This window comes from Homo sapiens, chromosome 6 (genome assembly GCF_000001405.40).
Source record: "Homo sapiens chromosome 6, GRCh38.p14 Primary Assembly".
Taxonomy (NCBI): domain Eukaryota; kingdom Metazoa; phylum Chordata; class Mammalia; order Primates; family Hominidae; genus Homo; species Homo sapiens.
In genome coordinates this window covers 34,189,627-34,213,917 of record NC_000006.12, presented here as the reverse complement: position 1 = coordinate 34,213,917, position 24,291 = coordinate 34,189,627, and the positions used below count along the sequence as shown (strand labels likewise).

General features: G+C 49.2%; 1 pseudogene, besides 2 other annotated features; it reads right to left on the bottom strand.

Annotated features, from left to right (window-relative positions):
- On the bottom strand, positions 22,774-24,186 carry KRT18P9 (keratin 18 pseudogene 9; annotated as a pseudogene).
- Positions 23,441-23,510: an enhancer, noted in NCBI's record as "active region_24379". NCBI's record gives its function as "activates an Ori minimal core promoter by ATAC-STARR-seq in GM12878 lymphoblastoid cells {active_cell/tissue: GM12878}" and the evidence as "EXISTENCE:reporter gene assay evidence [ECO:0000049][PMID:35858748]".
- Positions 23,661-23,720: an enhancer, noted in NCBI's record as "active region_24378". NCBI's record gives its function as "activates an Ori minimal core promoter by ATAC-STARR-seq in GM12878 lymphoblastoid cells {active_cell/tissue: GM12878}" and the evidence as "EXISTENCE:reporter gene assay evidence [ECO:0000049][PMID:35858748]".

The window sequence follows — 24,291 nt, the reverse complement described above, 5'->3', positions numbered from 1 at the left end:
AATAGAAATTGGGCGAATGGATAAACAAACTGTCCATCCATTCATGGAATACTGCTCAGTCATCAAAAGGAATGAACTGTTTTGATATACATAACATTATGGATAGAAGAAGTCAGACTGAGAAGTTTACATGCTGCATGATTCCATTTTCGTAACATTCTAGAAAAGACAAAACAATGGTGATGAGAACAGATTAGTGCTTCTCAGGGTTTAGGGATGGAGGAAGGTGTGGCCACAGGGAATAACAACTAGCGAGTTTTTTGGGAGTGATGGAACTGTTCAGAATCTTAATTGTCAAGGTGGTTACAAGCATCTGTACAAGTAAAATTCATAGAACTATATACCAAAAGAGGTCAGCATGACTGTATGATAATTCAAAGGAAACCCAGCCTGGTGAGGTGGCTCACATCTGTAATCCCAGCACTTTGGGAGGCCAAGGTGGGCGGATCACGAGGTCAAGAGATTGAGACCATCCTGGCCAACATGGTGAAACCCTGTCTCTACTAAAAATAAAAAAATTAGCTGGGCGTGGTGGTGGGCTTCTATAGTCCCAGCTACTCCGGAGGCTGAGGCAGGAGAATCACTTGAACCTGGGAGGAGGAGGTTGCAGTGAGTCAAGATGGCACCACTGCACTCCAGCCTGGTGACAAAGCCTGACTCTGTCTCAAAAAAAAACCAAAAAACAAAAACAAAAAAAACCCATATCCAGTTGGATAACTGTGTGATAAAGCAAGTTTAGTACAGTGTTAATGGGAGAATCCAGGTGGTGGGGATGAGTGTTCAACAAACATTTCTTTTAGCTTTGCTGTTTGAAAATATTCATAATAAAATGTTGAAAAAAAGTCTATATCCACAATGGCACTGAGTTTGTTTTAAAAATCTCTCTTTTGGCCTGGTGCAGTGGCTCACGCCTGTAATCCCAGCACTTCGGGAGGCTCAGGCAGGCAGTTCTCAAGGTCAGGAGTTCGAGACCAGCCTGGCCAATATGGTGAAAACTCATCTCTACTAAAAATACAAAAAAAAATTAGCTGGGCGTGGTGGTGGGCGCCTGTAGTCCCAGCTACTCGGGAGGCCGAGGCAGGAGAATTGCTTGAACCCAGGAGGAGGAGGTTGCAGTGAGCTGAGATCGCGCCACTGCACTTCAGCCCGGGCGACAGAGATCAAGATTTCGTCTCAAAAAACAAACAAACAAAAAAAAACAACTCTCTTCTCTCTCTACTTATCTACCCCTATATGTGTAGGGAAAAGAGTGAAGGTATTATGCCAATATACTATCAGTGGTGATCTTGCTGAAGAGTGAAAATGCAGGTGATTACAAATTTCTTTTTGTATATTCATGTGTTTTATTTTGTTTTCCTTTTTTTTTGAGACGGAGTTTCACTCTCGTCACCCAGGCTGGAGTGCAATGGCACGATCTCGGCTCACTGCAACCTCTGCCTCCTGGGTTCAAGCGATTCTCCTGCCTCAGCCTCCAGAGTAGCTGGGAGTACAGGCGCCTGCCACCACACCCAGCTAATTTTTGTGTTTTTTTTTTAGTAGAGAGAGGGTTTCACCATGTTGGCCAGGCTGGTCTCAAACTCCTGACCTCAGGTGATCTGCCTGCCTCAGCCTCCCAAAGTGTTGGGATTACAGGCGGGAGCCACCGCGCCTGACCTATATTCATGTGTTTTCTATAACCGGCATATATTATTTAGGGAGATTATAAACTATATTTTTAAAATGCTTTTTAAACAAATTTACATGTGCAATGCATACTTGTTGTAAAGTTCAAATGATACAGCAATCTGAATCTCCCAAGGGCAAATCCCTCATGCTTACTCCTGACACTGTTAATAATCTGTGTATATTCTAAGGGCTATATATTATATATATATATATATATATATATTTTTTTTTTTTTTTTTTTTTTTTTTTTGAGACAGGGTCTTGCTCTGTTGCCGGGCTGGAGTGCTGTGGTGCCGTCACTGCTCACTGCAGCCTCGACCTCCCAGGCTCAGGTAATCCTCCCATTTCAGCCTCCTGAGTAGCTAGGACTGTATGTAGGTGTGAGCCACCAAGCCTGGCTAATTTGTTTTTTTTTTTTTTTTTCAAGACAGAGTCTTGCTCTGTCACCCAGGCTGGAGTGCAGTGGCGTGATCTCAGCTCACTGCAACCTCCACCTTCTGGGTTCAAGCAATTCTTCTGCCTCAGACTCCCGAGTAGCTGGGATTACAGGTGCCTGGCACCAAACCTGGCGAATTTTTGTATTTTGTATTTTTTTTAGATGGAGTCTCACTCTGTTGCTCAGGCTGGAGTGCAGTGGCGTGATCTCGGCTAACTTCAACCTCCCCCTCCTGGGTCATATGATTCTCCTGCCTCAGCCTCCTGAGTAGCTGGGATTACAGGCACGTGATACCAAGCCCGGCTAATTTTTGTATTTTTAGTAGAGATGGGTTTTCATCATGTTGGCCAGGCTTGTCTCGAACTCCTGACCTTGTATCCGCCCGTCTTGGCCTCCCAAAGTACTGGGATTACAGGCGTGAGCCACCGTGCCTGGCCAATTTTTGTATTGTTGGTAGAGACAGAATTTTGCCATGTTGGCCAGGCTTGTCTCGAACCCCTGACCTCAGGTGATCCGCCTGCCTCGGCCTCTCAAAGTGCTGGGATTACAGGTGAGCCACTGCACCCAGCAATTTTTGTATTTTTTGTAGAGACATGGTTTCACCATATTGCCCAGGCTGATTTTGAACTCCTGGTCTCAAATTATATATATATAATTAAATTAAATTAAAATAAAATAAAATACAAAAAAAGGGTGACTCCATGTTTCAAGGAGGCAAATTTTCCTGGTCCAATTCTCGGAACCAGAAGTTATTGCACTTTACATTCTCTTCACTTCAGGATCTGTGCCTTGAACCTATAGAATAGAAGCCATTTTCTGGCCAGGCACATTGGCTCACGCCTGTAATCCCAGCACTTTGGGAGGCCGAGGCAGGAGGATCATGAGGTCAGGAGATCGATACCATCCTGGCTAACACGGTGAAACCCTGTCTCTACTAAAAATACAAAAAATTAGCTGGGCGAGGTGGCGGGCGCCTGTAGTCCCAGCTACTCAGGAGGCTGAGGCAGGAGCTCCTGAGGCAGGTGCTGGGATGCCACCTGTCTTGGCATCCCAAAGTGCTGGGATTACAGGCGGGAGCGACAACACCTGGCCCTAAAGGCTAAATCTTACATTCAGGTTCGTTGCTTTCATATTTTGTCATCTTTTCAAAATTAAGCAGCTCTTATATACTGTTTTTATTTGTCAGTTAAAACAAGTAAAATTAAGTCGAGTGTGGTGGTGCACGCCTATACTATAGTTCTAGCTATTCAGGAGCCTGTGGTGGGAGGATCACTTGAGCCCAGGAGTTCCAGGCCAGCCTGGGCCACACCAAAAGACCTGAGACCTCCGATCTAAAAATAAATAAATAATAAAAAAGTAAAAAGCAAGCAAACAAACAAAAACAAAAACTAGGCAGCTCCAACATATTTTATTTTTATTTCCCATTATTAACATCACTTAGCAATAAGTTCTATGTTTAAAGAAAGAAAATGGCTTCCTTTTTTTTTTTTTTGAGATGGGGTCTCCCTCTGTCGCCCAGGCTGGAGTGCAGTGGCAGATCTCGGCTCACCTCGGCTCACTGCAAGCTTCGCCTCTCAGGTTCACGCCATTCTCCTGCCTCAGCCTCCTGAGTAGCTGGGACTACAGGCGCCCGCCACCTCGCCCAGCTAATTTTTTGTATTTTTAGTAGAGACAGGGTTTCACCGTGTTAGCCAGGATGGTATCGATCTCCTGACCTCATGATCCTCCTGCCTTGGCCTCCCAAAGTGCTGGGATTACAGGCGTGAGCCACTGTGCCTGGCCAGAAAATGGCTTCTATTCTATAGGTTCAAGGCACAGATCCTGAAGTGAAGAGAATGTAAAGTGCAATAACTTCTGGTTCCGAGAATTGGACCAGGAAAATTTGCCTCCTTGAAACATGGAGTCACCCTTTTTTTGTATTTTATTTTATTTTAATTTAATTTAATTATATATATATATATTTATATATATATATATATATATATATATATATATATATATATATATATATATTTTGAGACAGAGTCTTGCTCTGTCACCCAGGCTGGAGTGCAGTGTCATGATTTTGGTTCACTGCAACTTCAATCTCCCGGGTTCAAGGGATCCTCCTTCCTCAGCTTCCCGAGTAGCTGGGATTATAGGAGTCTGCCACCACGCCAGGCTAATTTTTTGTATTTTTAGTAGAGACGGGGTTTCATCATGTTGGCCAGATTGGTCTTGAACTCCTGACCTCAGGTGATCCACTTGCCTCAGCCTCGGCCTTCCAAATTGCTGGGATTACAGGCGTGAGTCACTGCACCTGGCCCTTTTTTGTTATTTTAAAAGATATAACTATAAATACTCGTTTTCAATTTCTTTTGTAACATAGGTCAAACCTCTGTTGTTGTACGTTTGTGTGTTTCAGCTCCCTGATTATAAAATAATACCAGCTGAGGAAACTAAGGCCAGAGTAGGGAGGGACTGCAGGGGTCAGGGTGTACCTCTGGCACAGCCACCAACTCTGTGACTCCTCTCTGGGCCTCAGCTTCCTAAACTGTAATATTTTATAATGAAGAATAAGCAAATGAAAGTAATAATAAAACCCTGTTACTGGGTAGCAGTGTGGAGAGCACTGCAGACTGTCCCTCATGCCCGATCTCCTTTTCTTCCTGAGTACTAAACCTCTGTATTTTTAGCTGAGCACATGACACATTTTGACCCTCAAAATAGACTGCTTTTCCTTGCCTCCTTTGCTAGATACGGTTAGTGGAAAACAAACAAAATGTTTTTAAAGGCAAGGGATGTTTTGTTTTTCTCCAGTTACTCCTTTCTAATGGCTAGAATGTGGACATGATGGCTGGCGTACATGCAGCTATTTTAGATTATGAGGTAGCCTTGGGGATGAAAGCTGCCCACTGCAGAGCAACGAGATGGAAGGTACTCGCCTGGGTTCCTGGCACTGTAGCACATCATGCCAGCTCTGGACTGCCTGCCTTGGGCCTTCTCAAACAGGAGAGAGAAATACACCTCTGTCTAGCAGAATCTACAGATATTTGGGGATTTTGTTCTTTGCAGCTGTATACAAGGTAGGAAAATTGGTGAGGAGGCTGTTTCAATAATTGAGGGAAGAGACCAGGGGCCTGAACAGTGGCAGAGAATGGATTGAAGAGATATTTGTCTGGGACATGCCAAGCTCCCAGGGCCTGAGGGCCTTCACAAGGGCTGCTGATTGAGTTGATCTGAAGTTCAGTAGAAAGGTCTGAACTGGAGAAAAGAGATACGTTCAGAGAGGTAAAGATGCCCCTGGTAATATGGCCAGGAGGGCTGGACTCTGAATGGAGTGCATATTAGTTATCTATTAAAGAGTAGCACATTACTACAAAACCTTAATGAGTGGGAGGTCAGAAATCTGGGATCTGCTTAGCTAGGTGGTTCTGGCTTGGGGGTTCTCTCCTGAGATTGCAGTTAAGATCTTGGCCAGGACTGCAGTCATATGAAGGCTTGATGGGGGCTAGAGGAGCCACTTACATGGTGGCTGACTCACATGGCTGTAGGCAGAGGCCCTAGTTTCTCACCACGTGTGCCTCTCCCTAGGGCTGTGTGGGCCTCCTCATGACCTGGTGGCTGGGTCTCCCCAGAGTGAGTTATCCAGAGTGCAAGCAAGGCAGTTACCGTGATGCCTTTTATGACCTCCTTGGAAGCCACACATTGTCAGTTCTGCCATATCTTGTTGGTTATGCAGGTCACCTTATACCATGTGGGAGGGACCACACAAAGGTGTCAGTGCCAGGAGATGGGGACCCTTGGGCCTCATCTTGAGGCTGGCTACCACATAGGGAGGATCAGTAAGGGCTGGAGGAGACCAGAGCTGACCTGCTCTGGTGACCTGCCATGTGCCGAACATTTCATGGGAGCAAAGATTGATGCCACTTCCTGGGCATGTGTCACATGGTGGTTAGACGTGCAGGCAGGGCCTTTGAAGGCTATGTGGCCTCTGAGAAGTTCCAGCAAAGGCAGTTTTGATGATTAAGAGAAATAATGTGTAAAAGGCAAAGGGACCACAGGAAGTGCTCACTAAATGTCAGCTCCTGAGGCCAGGTGCAGTGGCTCACACCTATAATCCCAACACTTTGGGAGAGTGAGGCAGGCAGATCGCTCGAGTCTAGAAGTTCAAGAGCAGCCTGGGCAACATGGTGAAACCTCGTATCTACAGAAAATACAAAAATTAGCTGGGCGTGTGCCTGTAGTCCCAGCTACTCAGGAGGCTAAGGTGGGAGGATCGAGCCCAGGAGGTTGAGGCTGTAGTAAGCTGAGATCGTGCCACTGCCACTGCACTCCAGCCCTGGTGACAGAGTGAGACCCTGTTTCAAACAACAACAACAAAGTCAGCTCCTGGTGAGGACAGGGTCAGAAAGACTGAGGGTCAAGTCCCCACTTTGTCGCTTGGTAGTTGCAGTGCCTTAGCCATCAAATGGGGATGCCAATATCCATCTTACAGGGCGTTGTGAGGATTGAGGGAGGAAATACATGTAAAATGCCGACACAGTGCCTGGCATATCAGAATTACTCAAATAAAGCTTTCTGATGGTTAATTTCTCTGCTCAGAATTCTCAGCGGCTTCCCCTAGCCTGCATCACCAAGGGCATTCGAAGCCTTCCCTGACCTAGCTTTGCCAACTGAATTTCATCTCCACGCCTGTGCGACCCCGTTCCCGCCACCCCACAGGCCATCCCCCTGCCCAGCCTCTTCCTTCTGTTCATCTCTTCCCCAAGCCTTTCCCCCGGGGTCTCCCAGATAGGGCCTCACCTGCTTTTTATCCCAGAGCACTTTATGTCTCTCAGGCATGTCCCTGCCTTGTTCCCTGTGCCTGGAGACATGCTGGGCACAGCCTGGGGTGGTGGAAATCCACACAGGGACTGTGTCAATGACTCAGCTGAGATGAGGGTCACCGGGGGCTAACTGGGCTGACTGGGGAGCAGGAGGGTAACCCACTGAGACGGGAAGCAGCGAGAAAGGGGAGAACTGCCCCAGGAAGGCTGCCCGGAGGTGATGAGTAGTGCCCCTCCCTCCCGCCCCTTCAGGATGTCCAGCCAGCAAAGGGTGGAAATTGAGTCTTTTTCATCTGCACACTTTAGGTGCTCAATAGTTAAATTAAAATTTGAATTTAGTTGGGAAAAGTGTAATTTAAGCATTTGAGGGTAATAAAATCCCTGCTTTTCCCCCAAATAAACTCCATACCAGCTTGCTCAAGGTGCCTGAAATCCTCCTAGTAGAATCGTGTTCAGCTTAAAAGCTGGCATCTCCAGAAAGCTCCCGTTCCAACCTGCACCCAGTGTGTTCCGTGGGAGGGTAACAAAGGGCCCATGAGTCCCGATTAACTGATCTGACAAACCGTCTGTCACCCACAGCCCTAAGCCACACTGTGAAACTGCCTAGGGTGGCACCAGCTTTTTATCTTCCTCAGGGTCCTCCCCTCAGGCCCCCAAGTCACCCCATCATGGTCCAGATTCTCCCCTGAGTGACTCCATCCCCATGGTCATCTCCCCTCCTGAGCCTCCCCCTCTGAGGGCCAAGGGCTGTCCTCAGGGCCCTCCTGGGGCTTCCTGGTGGGGAACAACCTGAGGCAGGATAAGCTCTTATTCAGAGCGTTGAGAGGAAATGCCCCCACCTCCACTCCTCTCCCCACACACTACCCTGGCAGGAATGTAGGGCCCTGTCCTGAGTCTTCGCCCATGGAATGCAGGTGCAGCTGTGCTGGGGTAGAGTAAGGTGGGGTCATACAGCCACAGGGCTCAGAGTTGCAAGGAACCCCAAGAAGTCAGTTGGTCCAGTCCCCTGCTGTTAGGCAGGCAAGGGACTGCTGATTGTCCATGGTTTTGAATGAGCTATTTCATTGGTGGTATTATCCACCTCCCTGGATAATACCAGCAATCTCTCTCATGGGGAAGTGCTTCTCACCTGGGGCTTTTGCATGGGATTGTCTCACAACATGCCCAGGAGGGAGATAGGAGTGCTGTACCGGTGAGCAAGATTCAGGCTGCCTATCCCTGGACACCTTGACTCAAATGGCTCCAACGATGAGGACATTTATACTCTCTGGTAACAAGGTGGCCGGAGTGGGGTGTTTCCCATGCTGATTAATTGAGTGACTCAACAGCATCATCAAGGACTGAGGTTGTTTTTAGCTTTCATTTCTGCCATTGCCAAAGGGTAGGCCATGTTTTTTCTCATAGTCACAAGATGGCTGCCTGTCACCAGGCACTATGTCTAGACATGACAACATGAAGTGAAAAGAGAGCAGCCTTCCCAGGAGCTGCCAACAATATGTCCTCCTGTTTCAGTGGCCACAATTACACCACTGCTCTCATAATCTGATATTAGTGCAATGTTGGGAGACAATTACTTCTCCATGATTCTCTCATGTTTCTGCATATCAGGTGAGCAGAGAGTGTCTTTTTCTGTCTTTTTTGTGTTTTCTTTGTAAGCAATAGCTGTACATATTCTGATTGTCTTTTTCCTATCTTTTCAAGGAGGTTTATATAGTGAACAGCTTTGGAAGATAATGTTTTCCTCCAACCAAAGGGCAGGTTTGCTTAGGTCCCATTATAAAATATTCAGGTTCCCGGCTGGGCGCAGTGGTTCATGCCTGTAATCCCAGCACTTTGGGAGGCCGAAGGGGCAGATCATTTGAGGTCAGGAGTTCAAGACTAGCCTGGCCAACATGGTGAAACCCCATCTCTACTAAAAATACAAAAATTAGCCGGGCGTCATGGCGCACTCCTGTATCCCAGCTACTCAGGAGGCTGAGGCAGGAGAATCGTTTGAACCCAGGAGGTGGAGATTGCAGTAAGCTGAGAAGTGCCACTGCACTCCAGCCTGGGTGGCAGAGCAAGACTCTGTCTCAAAAAAAATTTCCTCCCCTGTAATAGCCCACTTCAGTCACATGACCACACCTCACCCCAAGGGATGCTGGGAAATATAATCTTTAACTAGACAGTCATGTGCTTAGCTAAAATTTCCATTTCTTGTATGTATGTGTGTATGTATGTATGTATTTTTGCAACAGAGTCTTGCCCCATTGCCCAATGGGGAGTGCAATGGTGCCTGGAGTGCAATGGTGCCATCACATCTCACTGCAGCCTCAACCTCAGCCTCCCAAGTAGCTGGGACCACACAGGTACACACCACCATGCCTGGCTTTTTTTTTTTTTTTTTTTTTTTTTGAGATGGAGTCTCGCTCTGTCGCCCAGGCTAGAGTGCGGTGGCGCGATCTCGGCTCACTGCAAGCTCCGCCTCCCGGGTTCACGCCATTCTCCTGCTTCAGCCTCCAGAGTAGCTGGGACTACAGGCACCTGCCACCACGCCCGGCTAGTTTTTCCTATTTTTTAGTAGAGATGGGGTTTCACCGTGTTAGCCAGGATGGTCTCGACCTCCTGACCTCATGATCCGCCAGCCTTGGCCTCCCAAAGTGCTCGGATTACAGGCGTGAGCCACGGCGCCCGGCCCACCATGCCTGGCTTTTAAAATTTATTTATTTATTTACTTATTTTATTTTTTTTGTGTGTCGGAGTTTCACTGTTGTTGCACTGGAGTGCAATGGGGCAATCTTGGCTCACCACAACCTCCGCCTCCCAGGTTCAAGCAATTATCCTGCCTCAGCCTCCCGAGTAGATGGGATTATAGGCATGCACCACCACACCTGGCTAATTTTATATTTTTAGTAGAGATGGGGTTTCTCCACGTTGGTCAGGATGGTCTCGAACTCCCAACCTCAGGTGATCTGCCTGCCTCAGCCTCCCAAAGTGCTGGGATTACAGGCCTGAGCTACCGTGCCCAGCTACTTAAATTTATTTTTAAAATTAATTATTTTTTGTTGTTGTAGAGTTGAGGTCTCACTATGTTGCCCAAGCTGGTCTAAACTCCTAGGCTCAAGCGGTCCTCTCTCTTCAGCCTCTCAAAGTATTGGGATTACAGACATGAGCCACTGCACCTGGCCTAAAGTTTTCATTTCTACCTAAGAATGGAGAATGTATACTGGGGCAATTGGTGGTCTGTGCCACAGTTACCCCAATAAATCTGGGGTTCTACTAGGGAGTCAGGAGGAATAGTGTTGGAGAGACAACAGCAGTATCTGCCATGGTAGGGTTAGTGCTGTGTCCGCATTTTATAGATAGGGACTGGGTTCCAGAGTGGGCGGTATTGCTGCCAGGTCCAGAACCCAGGCCGCTGACTCCTGACTTTAGTTTTCTTCCATTCTTTTCCTGCTTCTGCATCAATACAGATCAGGTTAGGCTGTGGGCAGGTGAAGCCTCCCACTGGCCTTGGCGTGCGGGGCCACATCCTCTTCTCAAGACACTCAGTCCCTTTGGCTTCCTGAGTCCTCTCTCTCCTGCTGTTCTTCAGGTCTTTGGCCTCTCTTCCTCAGGCTCCTTCTCTGCTTCCTTTTCTTTCCAGCCTGTCACTTCCAGAGTTCCTCAGGTGCTCACTTGCACCTGTGTTTGCTGGTTCAAATTAAATATCATCTCTTGCCATGTCCCCACACTCCTGGCGGTGGCTGCTGCCATCACGCCAGCTGCAGCAGGGAGGTACGGCTGGGGCTGCACACTCCATGGAGCCAGTGGGAGCCCCGCCCCTTCTGAGTTGGGGGCAGGAGCGCCCTGGGGTGCCGCTGCAGCCACCCAAACCATGGCCACCCAAACCAAACGGAGGCAGACCCGGGCCTCCGGCTCCATGGAGCCGACAGAAGCCCCGCCCTCTTGGGCGGGGCTACAGCCACCCAAACTGTGGCTGCGGATCGGAGCCTCCCTGTGCTCTTGGAGGGGGTCAGGAGCAGGCAGGAGCTGCCCTCCTGGGTGCAGCTGCAACCACCTGACCGGTGGCTGCAGACCTGGACCTCTTGCTACATGGAGCAGGCAGGAGCCGGGGACAAGCAGGAACTGAGCCCCTTCTGAGCTGGTGGGGTGGGAGCTCCCAGGTGCAACTGCAGCCACCTTCCCTGGCGCAGGACCCGGGCATCTCTGCAGCCTGCACCCTCGGGGCCTCAGGAAGAACCCACCCCCTTTCTGTCCCTGCAGGCTCGGGGGTGTCTGCTCCCGCTGCCTAGCTTCTTTCCACTCCCAGGGCCTGCTCAGATCTTGGAGCAGGGGTTGGGGCAGAGCCCCAGGGGCTTTGAATGGCAGTGGGAGGCTGATTCCTGAGTGGAAGTGGGTGGGTCCCCAGTAAGGCCCCACCTTCAGGCCAAGGAGGGCCTGAAGTCTGGGGGCGGGGCTGCCAGTCCCAAGGACTGGAGTAGGAACTTGTGGTGCCTCTCTGGGCTGCCCACGGCCATCCATGGACCAATCAGCATGCACTTCCTCTCCTCTGAGGTCCATAAAAGCCCCGGGCTCAGCCAGAACAGGGCAGAGGATGGCCAGAGGATGAAGAGGGCAGAGTGATGGCAGGATGACCAGCTGCAGAGAGGAGCTGCTCTCTCTGCTGATAGCTGGAGATGACAGAATGACCAGTTGCAGAGAAGAGCTACCCTCTCTGCTGAGAGCTGCAGAGACAACCTGCCAGCAGAGAAGAGCCACCCTCTCCAGGGCCTCCTCTCTGAGAGCTGAAAACTCGAGGGATGACCTGCCTACAGAGAGGAGCTACCCACTGTTGGTCTCTGAGCTGTTGTAACACTTGATAAAGCTCATCTTCATCTTCACGCTTCGCTTGTCTGCGTACCTCATTCTTCCTGGACGCACCTGGACACAGGACAAGAACTCAGGCAAAGGTGCCAGGGCCACAGGGGTTTCCGGCCTGAAACTGACACCTTAAAGACCCTGTTACACTCCTATCTGCCTAGACCTCTCTGTGTGCTCTGGGCTTGTGTATCCAGCTGCCCATCTCACATCCCATTTGGGTGTCATACAGGCACCCTGATGTCATGTTTAAAAGTGAACTCATAGCTGGGCATGGTGACTCACACCTGTAATCCTAGCATTATGGGAAGCTGAGGCGGCAGGATCCTAGAGCCCAGCTAGGAGTTTGAGACCAGCCTGGGTAAAATAGTGAGACCCCTGTCTCTACAAAAAAATGAAAAATTTGCCAGGCATGGTAGCATGCGTCTGTAGTCCCAGGTATTCAGGAGGTTGGGGCAGGAGGATCCTTTGAGCCAAGGAGGTCAAGAGTGTAGTGAGCTGTGATCTCATCAGTGTACTCCAGTTCACCACAGAGTGAGACCCTGTGTAAAAAACAAAACAAAACAAAACAAAAACTCATGACATCACCCACAAACTTGCTTTTTCACTCTCGGCAATCTCAGTAAATGCTTCCACCCTCCAGCTAGCAATGTTGGCACCTTTGATGCCTTCCTTTACCTCTCCCTCCACATCCATCCCCCTGCATACCAGATTATTGCCATAGCCTCCTACTCTGCCTCCCTGAAGCTACCCTGGCTTGCCCATCCATTCCTTACTATCTTTTTTTTTTTCTTTTTTTCGAGAAGGAGTCTCTCTCTGTTGCCCAGGCTGGAGTGCAGTGGTGTGATCTCAGCTCACTGCAACCTCCACCCCCCCCGTTTAAGCGATTCTCCTGCCTCAGCCCCCCAAGTAGCTGGGATTACAGGTGCGCACCACTTCACTAGGCTAATTTTTGTGTTTTTAGTAGAGACGGGGTTTCACCATGTTGGCCAGGCTGGTCTTGAACTCCTGACCTCGTGATCCATCCACCTTGGCCTCCCAAAGTGCTGAGATTACAGGCGTGAGCCACCGCACCCAGCTCTTTTCTATCTTAAAATGCAAGTATGATCACACTAACCTTCTTAAAAATCTTCAATGGCTTGCCATTGCTTTTAGGATAAAGACCAACATTCTTTAAATGATGTGGCAGAACACTTGCCCCTCCCTTGTCCATTCTTTTCAATTTGTAGCTGGGCACAAAGCCATTTAAATAAATATTCCACTTCCCAGCCTCCCTTGTGACTGGGTGGGACCACGTGACTAAATCCTGGCCAATTGGATGCAGACAGAAATGTAACGTTCTTAGGTAGGGAGGGGGCAGGACTTCTTTTGACCTTTCCTCTTGCCTGCTGATAAGCATGAGAAGCAGCCATCTTGGACCAGCAGGAGGATTGCTGAGGCTGGGGGAGCACTACCTTAGAAGAACACACACTAGCCTTAGATCGCCTACCTACCTTCGGGCTTTGGTTATGGAAAACAGTTAAGCACTGAGCTTGTTTGAGTCACTATTTTGCATTTTCTCACAGCCCAAACAAATCCTGCCTGAATCACATGGCCCCACTGGGCCCTTCCCCTTGCTTACTCTGCTCTAGCCACAGTGGTAGTGTTGAGTTTCTTCTGCATACCTACCTTCTTGACTCAGGGCCTTTGCACATACTCCTGCCTCTGCCTGCAGCACCCTCCTCATCACACTTTCCTGGTAATCTCCAACCCACCCTTTCAGGTGGGATGTTGCTTACTCCAGGAAGCCTTCCTTGACGGCAAGGTCATACCTACAGTAGTTCATACCTAGAGCATAATTTTCTTAAGGTTTTTTTGGACAGCATAGAGCAGGTATATATTTTTTTTAACACCTCTCCTTTATTCAACATTACCTTCAATAATAATAATGACTTGAATAATAATAACGACCAATAAAAATGCAGTAAAATAAAGTTCTTTCTTTCCTTTTTTTTTTTTTTTTTTTTTGAGACAGGGTCTCACTCTGTCACCCAGGTTGGAGTGCAGTGGCACAATCCTAGCTCACTGCAGCCTCAACCACCCGGGGCTCAAGTGATCCTCCCACTTGAGCCTCCTGAATAGCTGGAGCTACAGACGCACTTTTTTGTATTTTTTACTAGAGACTGGGTTGCATTATGTTGCCTGGGCTGGTCTTGAACTCCTGAGCTCAAGCCATCCTCTTGCCTTAGGTTCCTGGAGTGTTGGGATTACAGGCGTGAGCCACCACGCCTGGCCAAAAATTTTCTTTTATTGGATTTCATACATATACAATTATCCTAGTTAAAAAAAAAAAACAAATATGATAGAACCAAAAAAAAAAGAAAGAGGCCGGGCGCGGTGGCTCACGCCTGTAATCCCAGCACTTTGGGAGGCTGAGGCAGGTGGATCACCAGGTCAAGAGATAGAGACCATCCTGGCCAACATGGTGAAACATCGTCTCTACTAAAAATACAAAAATTAGCTGGGTGTGGTGGCGTGTGCCTGTAGTCCCAGCTACTTGGGAGGCTGAGGCAGGAGAATGGATTGAACCTGGGAGGTGGAGGTTGCAGTGAGCCAAGATTGCACCACTGCACCCCAACCTGGTGACAGAGTGAGACTTTGTCTCAAAAAAAAAAAAGTATTAGGTTAATATTTTTAAATTATATTAATGCGTTTTTTGACAAAAGAGAAAAATGAATATCTAGATCTATTGCAGCAATGAATAACATTACATTTTGTTTTCCAGCCTTCTGCAAATTTGTCAAAGACTTTGTCAAAACTGATCTTTGCATATTCGTGTTCTAGTGTAGGCAAATTTGTCATAGAAGATTTGTTTATCTTCTATCATAGTTGACCAAAAAACACTTCTTACTAATTTTTATTTGGGGCCGGGCGCGGTGGCTCAAGCCTGTAATCCCAGCACTTTGGTAGGCTGAGGCGGGTGGATCACCTGAGGTCAGGAGTTCGAGACGAGCCTGGCCAGCATGGTGAAACCCCATCTCTACTAAAAATACAAAAAATTATCCAGGCGTAGTGGCGCGCGCCTGTAGTCCCAGCTACTCGGGAGGCTGAGGCAGGAGAATTGCTTGAATCCAGCAGGCGGAGGTTGTAGCTAGCCAAGGTCACGCCACTGCACACTCCAGTCTGGGTGCCAGAGTGAGACTCCATTTCCAAAAAAAAAAAATTACTTGGAAATGTTTCTTTTCGCATGAGGCAATAGATACACAAATAGTTAGGGAAAGCCTTAAACATAAGGATAAGTTTGGCAGAAATTCATTCATTTTTGTAAAATGAAAAAAAATCATTTTACAATAAATTCCAGAAATTACAGTACTGTCAATATCTGTGTTTCTTTGAGATTGATTGTAAAAGCTTTCGAGTATCTTCCCAGTGGAAAAACTTTAAACAAATACAAACTCCCAAGTGACCACATAAAATTATGCTACCAATGTTTGTTTCAAACCCAATGTTTAAACACAGAACAATATAGTACAACAGGGATTCTAGACACAACTTTTCTCTGCAGTGAGTGTAAATAATTCTGAATCCATATGGACAGGGGCAGCTGGGTTCTCCTGTGCTGGGGATTGGCTAAAATAACAGGGAATTCTCTCAATTAACTACCAGGCAAAATCAATGCTTATTAAAGAATAAGTAATAAAATTGTGTTAATTTGAGACTTACATATAGGTTATTAAAAGTCAACAGTAAGGGAAGCAATTGTTGAGGTTTTAAACCACCAAAATAATTTGCAGGGGAGAACGTTGTTTAGAGTCGCTTGTGTGTAGTGATCCTAAAGAGCAGACTGGCTTTTAGCTCCTTCTTATTGTTTGAAAATGTGTTACCGACACCCCCTCTTATTGCTGGCATCAGTGCGGATGTGCAGCCACTTACCCCTGGTGCGTTCTCTGAGGTTCTGACTCCCGACATTCTCCTTCGAGGCACTTGCCTCAATTATGAGTTCAGACTGTGATTGTGTCACAATTTGTTTTTTTCATTTTTTCCCCTCTGTTCTTTATTTTTAGGGAGGATGTCATTATTTCTTTGAGATCTGTTCCCCACTAGGCTGTCTGCTCAACTCCAAGTGGGTGGTCACTGCTGTGTATGGCTATGCCCAGCTCCCAGCAGAGTACCTGGCACTCGAAAGGGCCTCAATACCTATTTGTTGAACGAATGTAGGTGAAGAACCTGGCACAGAGTATGCATTTCATAAAGGCAGTGACAGTGACCGTCACCTGCAGCACATTCAAGGTCAACACCCCTTCTTGGTTCCCTTCAGGCAAACCTATGTCTCCCTCTCCTGGATCGCTTTATCTCTGGAAAAGAACCTTATCTTGGCCAACAGTCCTTCCTGGAGGGCGGCAGTCACATCTCATTCATCTCTGGGGTTCCCTGAACCCCAGCAGAGGGCCTGGCACAAAATAGGAGTTAATCGATACTCCTGGAGGCCGGGCGCGGTGGCTCACGCCTGTAATCCCAGCACTTTGGGAGGCCGAGGCGGGCGGATCACGAGGTCAGGAGATCGAGACCATCCTGGCTAACACGGTGAAACCCCGTCTCTACTAAAAATACAAAAAAATTAGCCAGGTGTGGTGGCGGGCGCCTATAGTCCCAGCTATTCGGGAGGCTGAGGGAGGAGAATGGCTTGAACCCGGGAGGCAGAGCTTGCAGTGAGCGGAGATCCCGCCACTGCACTCTAGCCTGGGCGACAGAGCGAAACTGTCTCGAAAAAGAAAAAAACAATTAATACTCCTGGAATAATCATAGTTTATTGAGCGTCCACACACAACAGGTATTTTATGTCATGCATATGGTTTCGCTTCTCCAGGGTGAGCATGAGGAAAGTTAAATGATGTGTCCAAGATCACACAGCCAGTAGTGGCAGAACCCGCTTTAGTCCAGATCTCCAGATCTCTGAGGCTCCAAAGCCCCTGTTCTTTCTATGATTCCTCTTCCTAGGACAGGGCGTGTCGGGGAGGTGGGGGGGGGCGGGGGGGGGGCTGAGGGGGGTAGGGGGGCTGAGAGGGGTAGGGGGGTGGGGTCGATGGGGAGGACTCCAGTACTGGGGCGCGCCTATCCTGGGGATCCAGCTTGCTCAGGCAGCAGGAGCCTGGGCTTCCGGTCAGGCACGTGCCAGGTACCTGGGCTGATTCCTGGTCAGCACCTCTGCCTTTCCATGGGATGGAGGAGCCCAGGTGTGGACCGGGAGCTCCAATGCCAGCCCCACCACTGGTGAGCTGTGCAGCCTGGGCAGGGCAGAAAATCCCTCCAGGTTTTGGTTTCTCCACACATACAACGGCAGGCCATAGGTGCACCCCAATCAAGATGACCAGTACTGTACTGCCTAAGGCATCGGCCCCAGGCGGAGCTCTGCCAGTGCCAGTGTCTTTGGGTCCATGTTCCGTTCTCCCCGCTCCCTTTCACAATGCAGGAGGCGCAAGGTGCACTCCGACGGGCCGCGCACGGAGGGCGTGCAGCACACTTGATGGGCCGCAGCGGTCCCCAGGCTCCTTCCACAAGGACGCCTCTGTGGCCGCACCGGGATGCCAGGCAGCCGGCTCCCCTGTAAACTGGGGTTCCCGTGCGGACAGGAGTTGAGAGGGATTCGACTTGCAGCAGTCAGCAGCGTGGAGGCACGGGCGCCGTGTGTGCCGACTTGGGAAGCGGAAGAGTAGTGCGGCTGGTGGCCCGCGTGGGCCTGACCCTGGGAGTCTCGCGTGGCTGCCTGGCGCCCCCTCGCGGTCGTGGCCCGCTTCGCCGCGCCTATTCAGCGGAGCTGCTGGAGGGCGCGGGTGGACTGGGCTTGGGACAATTTGGGCTCTTGGGCTGCGATACTGCGACAAACTCCCAACCCCGTTTCCTGTCTTCCGAGGGAGGGAAAACCAAGGCTTTGAGGGTCCTCTGAGGCCTGCGGCGAGCCGGGAAGGCTGGGAAGGAAACACCCAGTGAGGCAGGTTGGGACGAAGGACCCTCCTGGAGCTCAGGAGGCCGCCCAGCGTCCACACCATGGCTCAGATTCCACCGTCCAGTCCCGCAGCCTTTCAGTTGTAAATCTGCGGCCCAGGCTGGATACCCAGGCGTGGAGATGGGCTTGAAGCATGGTCCACTGTCTCCTGACCACTGCAGACAGATGGCGGAAGCTGGGGCTTGGCCCTAACTCCTGTCCTGGACCAGGGACCCGGAGTGTGACTGTGGAACTGAGACGAGCTCCCGGGCCAGCCCTCCTCAGCAGTGGGGCTCCCATGGCTTTGGTGGCTCAGTGCCAGCAGCCAGCGTCTATCTTTTGCCTTGAGACACCTCCAAGCTGGCAACATGATTAAGGCAGCCAAGGGTGGCTGGGCAGCAGTGTGGGGGACTCTGGGTCCCCCAGATTCCCCAGGATGCCCCAGCACCCTCACAGCAGTGCCAGGGGCTGCTCTGGTCCCTGTTGGAGAGAAGGGGCAGTCCAGGAGCGACCCTCAGGAGAAGCTGTGGGCATCTGTTGGTCTGCAGTTTGAAGTCACAGCCCTCATCTGTCTCATGGGTCCCCACGGTAGAGGGTGAGACCTAGGGCCACCTCCCTGGCTTGACCTCCTGCAGCTTCCACCTCAAACTTTCCATCTCCGTAGCCCTTGCCTGTCTTGCTCTGTACACCCGCGTCCCTTACGCCGGTGGGTCATGCTCTCTTCTCCACTCTTTTCTTCTTCAGCCAACATGTAAACCTAGATACTTTAATCAGGAAGGTTTTGCACATAAATGAATGAAAAAGCGGTCAATATAAAAACTGGGTAGAAGCACAGGTCTGTCTGCGAATGAGACGGGCACTGCTAGTGCTGTTGGATGAAGCCTCCGCTGGACAGAGCCTCTGGTCCCAGTCAGCCTTCAGCTACCCTGAGAGGGGACAAAAGCCCCTTCTGGAAAAGTCAGTGGGTGAGGTCGATAATGAGTCTTGAAAACTGGGGGCTCCCTACAGGTCTAGAGCGAGGTGTGTGTCTGGGGGCCCAGCGGGCATCTGTGTAGGAGCAGGCCCCTCTGGATTTCTGCTTCTCAGTTTCCTCTGGCTGGAGGGTAGGTGATCTCTAGGGATCTGGGGTGGTGCCAGCCAGCCCTGTTGTCAGGTAGGGGCACTGAGTCCTAGGGACACAGGGCAGGGGGTGGAGGAGGTCAGAGACCCTGGGATTCCAGGCAGGGATGGAAAACAGTGCCCTCTTGTTGTCGCTCCCCTGCCCTGCCGGCACCAGGCAGCATCACTGGGGTATCCCAGCACTCTTTCTGTTTGTTTTACTTTTAATTACTCATTTAAAAATATTTGACTCATAAAGAAAAATACAAAAAATGATATAAAAACACACATACACCCTCCAACAAGATGATTTTGTTTTTAATATTTTGACTATTTGCTTCAGATCCTTTTTTTTTTTGAGACAGAATCTCACTGTGTCGCCCAGTTTTGAGTACAGTAGTGCAATCACAGTTCACTGTAACCTTGACCTCCCAGGCTCAAGTGCAATCCTCCCACCTCACCCTCCTGAGTAGCTGAGACTACAGGTGCATGCCACCACACCCTGCTAACTTCTGTATTTTTTGTAGAGACAAGGTCTCCTTCTGTTACCCAGGCTGGTCTCGAACTCCTGGGCTCAAGCAATCTGGCTTCCTCAGCCTCCTAAAGTGTTGGGATTACAGGAGTGAGCCACGATGCCCGGGCATCTTTTTTCTTTTTTTTCGAGACTGGGTCTCACTCTGTTGCCCAGGCTGGAGTGCAATGGTGTGATTACAGTTCACTGCAGCCTCGACCTCACCCCAGCTCAGGTGATCCCCCCACCTCAGCCTCCAGAGTAGCTGGTAACATGGTTGTGCCACCATGCCTAACTAATTTTTCTTTTTTCTTTGAGGCTGAGTTTTGTTCTTGTTGCCCAGGTGTGATCTCGGCTCACTGCAACCTCCACCTCCCGGGTTTAAGCGATTCTCCTGCCTCAGCCTCCCAAGTAGCTGGATTACAGGCATGCACCACTATGCCTGGATAATTTTCTATTTTTTAGTAGAGACAGGGTTTCTCCATGTTAGTCAGGCTGCTCTCGAACTCCTGACCTCAGGTGATCCGCCTGCCTCAGCCTCCCAAAGTGCTGGGAATTACAGGCGTGCGGCAGGCCTAATTTTTGTATTTTTTGTAGAGACGGGATTTCTCCATGTTGCTCAGACTGGTCTCGAACTCCTGGGTTCAATCTTCCCGTCTAGGCCTCCCAAAGTATTGGGATTACAGGTGTGAGCCACCACACCTGACCTCTTTTTTTTTTAATATAAAATGTCACAGAAATAACTAAAGCCCACCCTTGTGGCCTCTCCCCTCTCCCTTCCCTGAAGTTGTTTTTTTTTTTTCTGAGATGGAGTCTTGCTCTGTCACCTAGGCTGGAGTGCAGTTACACGATCTCGGCTCACTGCAACCTCTGCCTCCCGGGATCAAGCGATTCTCCTGCCACAGCCTCCCGAGTAGCTGGGATTACAGGCACGGGCCACCATGACCGGCTAATTTTTGTATTTTTAGTAGAGACAGGGTTTCACCATGTTGGCCAGGCTGGTCTCAATCTCCTGACCTCATGATCCACCCCCCTTGGCCTCCCAAAGTGTTGGGATTACAGGCGTGAGCCACTGTGCCCAGTCTGTATTTTTTATTCTCAAACATGTTTTAAAACTTTTACCCAATAGGTATATATCTTTATTTTATTTTTTATTTTTTTTGAGATGCAGTGTTGCTCTGTCACCCAGGCTGGAGTGCAGTGGCGTGATCTCGGCTCACTGCAACCTCTGCCTCCTGGGTTCAAGCAATTCTTCTGCCACAGCCTCCCGAGTAGCTGGGATTACAAGTGCACGCCACCACACCCAGCTAATTTTTGTATTTTTAGTAGAGACAGGGTTTGACCATGTTGGCCAGGCTGATCTCAAACTCCTGACCTTGTGATATGCCCTCCTCGGCCTCCCAAAGGGCTGGGATTACAGGCGTGAGCCACTGTGCCTGGCCCAGGTATATATCTTTAAACAATATATGGTATTGCTTTATGTTCTAAAATTTTACATGAATGGTGTCATAATGTTATATATCATTTTGCAAATTACTTTATCTCAACATTATGCTTTTGAGATCTATCAGTGCTTATCTTTGTAAATTTAATCCATTCATTGTAATCTCTGTGTGTCTTTCATTTTAACTACTCTCCTGCTGAGAATAGGTTGCTTGTAAAATGTCATAATTATGATCAATGCCTCAGAGAACCTTCTTGAGCACATCTCCTTGGAAAAGAAACAAAAGTTTATCTACAGTATCAACTGGAAATGGAAGTTCTGGGTCATGATGCTCATGCATCTTCACCTTGACAAAGATTTGTCAAATTGCTTTTCAAAGTGGTTGTACAAATTTACACTCCCATGGACAAACTATATAACTCCCATTTCTTCAATTACTCTTATTGGGTGTATTAATTTTTGCCAGTCTGTTGGGTGTGAAATGGTATTTCAATCTTGTTTTAATTTGCATTTCCCTAATTACTAGTGAGACTAAACAGCTTTTCATGTATATTGGGCATGAGTGGCCTCCTCTTCTTTGAAAAGCCTGTTCAGATCCTTTGCCTATTTTTAGTTTAGGTTGTTTATCTTTATCTTTTTTTTCTTTCTTTCTTATTATTATTATTATTATTATTATTATTATTATACTTTAAGTTTTAGGGTCTTTTTTTTTTTTTTTTTTGAGATGGAGTTTTGCTCTTGTTGCCCAGGCTGGAGTGCAATGGCACGATCTTGGCTCGCCGCAACCTCCACCTCCCGGGTTCAAGCAATGCTCCTGCCTCAGCCTCCTAAGTAGCTGGGATTACATGCATGCGCCACCATGCCCGGCTAATTTTGTATTTTTAGTGGAGACGGTTTCTCCATGTTGGTCAGGCTGGTCTCGAACTCCCTACCTCAGGTGATCTACCCACCTTGGCCTCCCAAAGTGCTGGGATTACAGGTGTGAGGCATGGTGCTCGGCCAATTTTTGTATTTTTAATAGAGATAGAATTTCGCCTTGTTGGCCAGGCTGGTCATGAACTCCTGGCCTCAGGTGATGTGCCTGCCTTGGCCTCCCAAAGTGATAGGATTACAGGTATGAGCTACCGCACCCCTCCCCAACTTTATTTGTTTACTTTATTTTTTATTTTATTTATTTATTTATTTTGAGACAGAGTCTCGCTCTGTCGCCCAGGCTAGAGTGCAATGGCGTGATCTCGGCTCACTGCCACCTCCGCCTCCCGGTTCAAGCGATTCTCCTGCCTCAGCTTCCTGAGTAGCTGGGACTACAGGTGCCTGCCACCGTGCCTGGCTAATTTTTTGTATTTTTAGTAGAGACTGGGTTCCACCGTGTTAGCCAGGATGGTCCTGATCTCCTGACCTCGTGATCCGCCCGCCTTGGCCTCCCAAAGTGCTGGGATTACAGGCGTGAGCCACCGTAACCGGACTTTTTTTGTGTTTCCTGAGACAGAGTCTCATTCTGTTACCCAGGCTAGAGTGCAGTGGCATGATCTTGGCTCACTGCCACTGCCACCTCTTGGGTTCAAGTGATTCTCCTGCCTCAGCCTCCCAAGTAGCTGGAACTACAGGCGCCTGCCACCACGCCTGGCTAATTTTTGTCTTTTTGGTAGAGATGGGGTTTGGTCAGGCTGGTCTCGAAAATCGCCCGCCTCGGCCTCCCAAAGTGCTGGGATTACAGGCGTGAGCCACTGCGCCTGGCCTTTATTTTTTATTTTTTAGAGATAGGCTCTTGTTCTGTCACCCAGGCTGGAGTGCACCAGCACAATCATGGCTCACTGCAGCTTTAAACTCCTGGGCTCAAGGGATCCTCTTGCCCAGCCTCCCAAGTAGCTGGGACTACAGGTGTGAGCCATTGCACCTGGCCTATGTCTAAGTATTTTTAAATTACTTTTAACTGTTTGATAAGAATATGTTTTTTTTTAAAAAACTTTTTGTTTATTTACTTATTTATTATTTCTTTTTTTTTTTCCACAATGACCTTGGAACTTTTTATTGGCCTTCTGCTCCCCAAAGGGTACCCTGCTTCTGCTGGCTCAATGCCTCTGAACTTTGGTGTTGTTAGTCTCGTACACCACTTTGCCATCCACTATCCTGGCGGCGGGGGGAGGGTGGTCTGTTGGATGGTGGTCGTTTGCATGGAATTGCTGCTGTCCAGGGCATCCCAAGATTGAAGTCCTTGCCGTCTTCCAGCAGGTGGTGGTAGGTGGCCATCTCGGCCTCCAGCTTGACCTGGATATTCAGCAGGGCCTTGTACTCCTGGGCCTGGCGCTGCTCCTCTGCCCGGGTCTGTGCCAGCTCCAACTCCAGGTGCAGCAGGACCCCACTGGGCTACTCCATCTGCAGGGCGTAGTGGGCCTTCGCCTCCCTCAGGCTGTTCTCCAAGCTGGCCTTCAGATTTCTCACTGAGTCCAGGTTGATCTCCAAGGACTGGACTGTACGTCTCAGCTTCATGAGCGTCATCTCAGCAGCTCTGATCTTGGCAGACTGCGTGGTGACCACTGTGGTGCTCTCCTCAGTCTGGTGGGAGCAGTACTGGTTCAGCTTCTCTCGATTCTTCTGAGACAGCTTGTCATATTGGGCCTGGATGTCTGCCATGATCTTGGCAAGATCCTGTGATTTGGGGGCATCTACCTCCACGGTTAACCCAGAGCTGGCAATTAGGGCTTGTTGGCCTTTAACTTCCTCATGTTATTCTTCTTCATGAAGAGCAGTTCCTCCTCGAAAACCTTGATCTCTGTCTCCAGCTGCAACCGAGTGACATTGGTGTCATCTTTGACCTAGCAGAGCCTACAGATGTCGCTCTCCAGACTGGCACATGGCCAGCTCTGTCTCATCAGCGGCAAGATGGGGATTGTCAATCTGCAGAATGATGCTGGCATTGTTCACAGAATTTGCGAAGATCTGAGCCCTCAGGTCCTCCATGGTCTTGAAGTAATGCCCCCAATCTCTGACCTGGGGTCCCTTCTTCTCCAGATACTCCTGGATTTTGCTCTCCAGCCTCCGATTCTCAGTCTCCAGGCTCCTCACTCTATCCAGGTAGGAGGCCAGGCAGCCGTTCAAGCCTTGATTGGTCTCCTTCTGGTTCTAGATGTCCCCCATTTCAGCCAGACCCCTGGCCATCCATGTGGCCAAGCCTCCAGACCCCAAGGCACCCTGGAAGCTGGTGGAGTGGGACACAGAGATCTGAGAGCCTGGGCCCTCTGAGAGCCTGGGCCCTCAGCATCTGCATAGACGCTGGCTGTGCCGCTGACCAGCTGGGCGCTGTACCTGGGCGGCTGCATTGAGTCCAGGGACTGGTAGTTGGTGGAGAAGGTGGTAGAGCGAGTGGTGAAGCTCATGCTGTCCAGGGAAGAAAGCGAGAGGACAGGACTCAGGTTTTGCCGAGGGCCTGTTTAATTTCTTTAGAGATGGAGACTAGCTATGTTGCCCAGCCTGATCTTGAACTCCTGGGCTCAAATGATTCTCCCACTTCAGCCTCCCAAAGTGCTG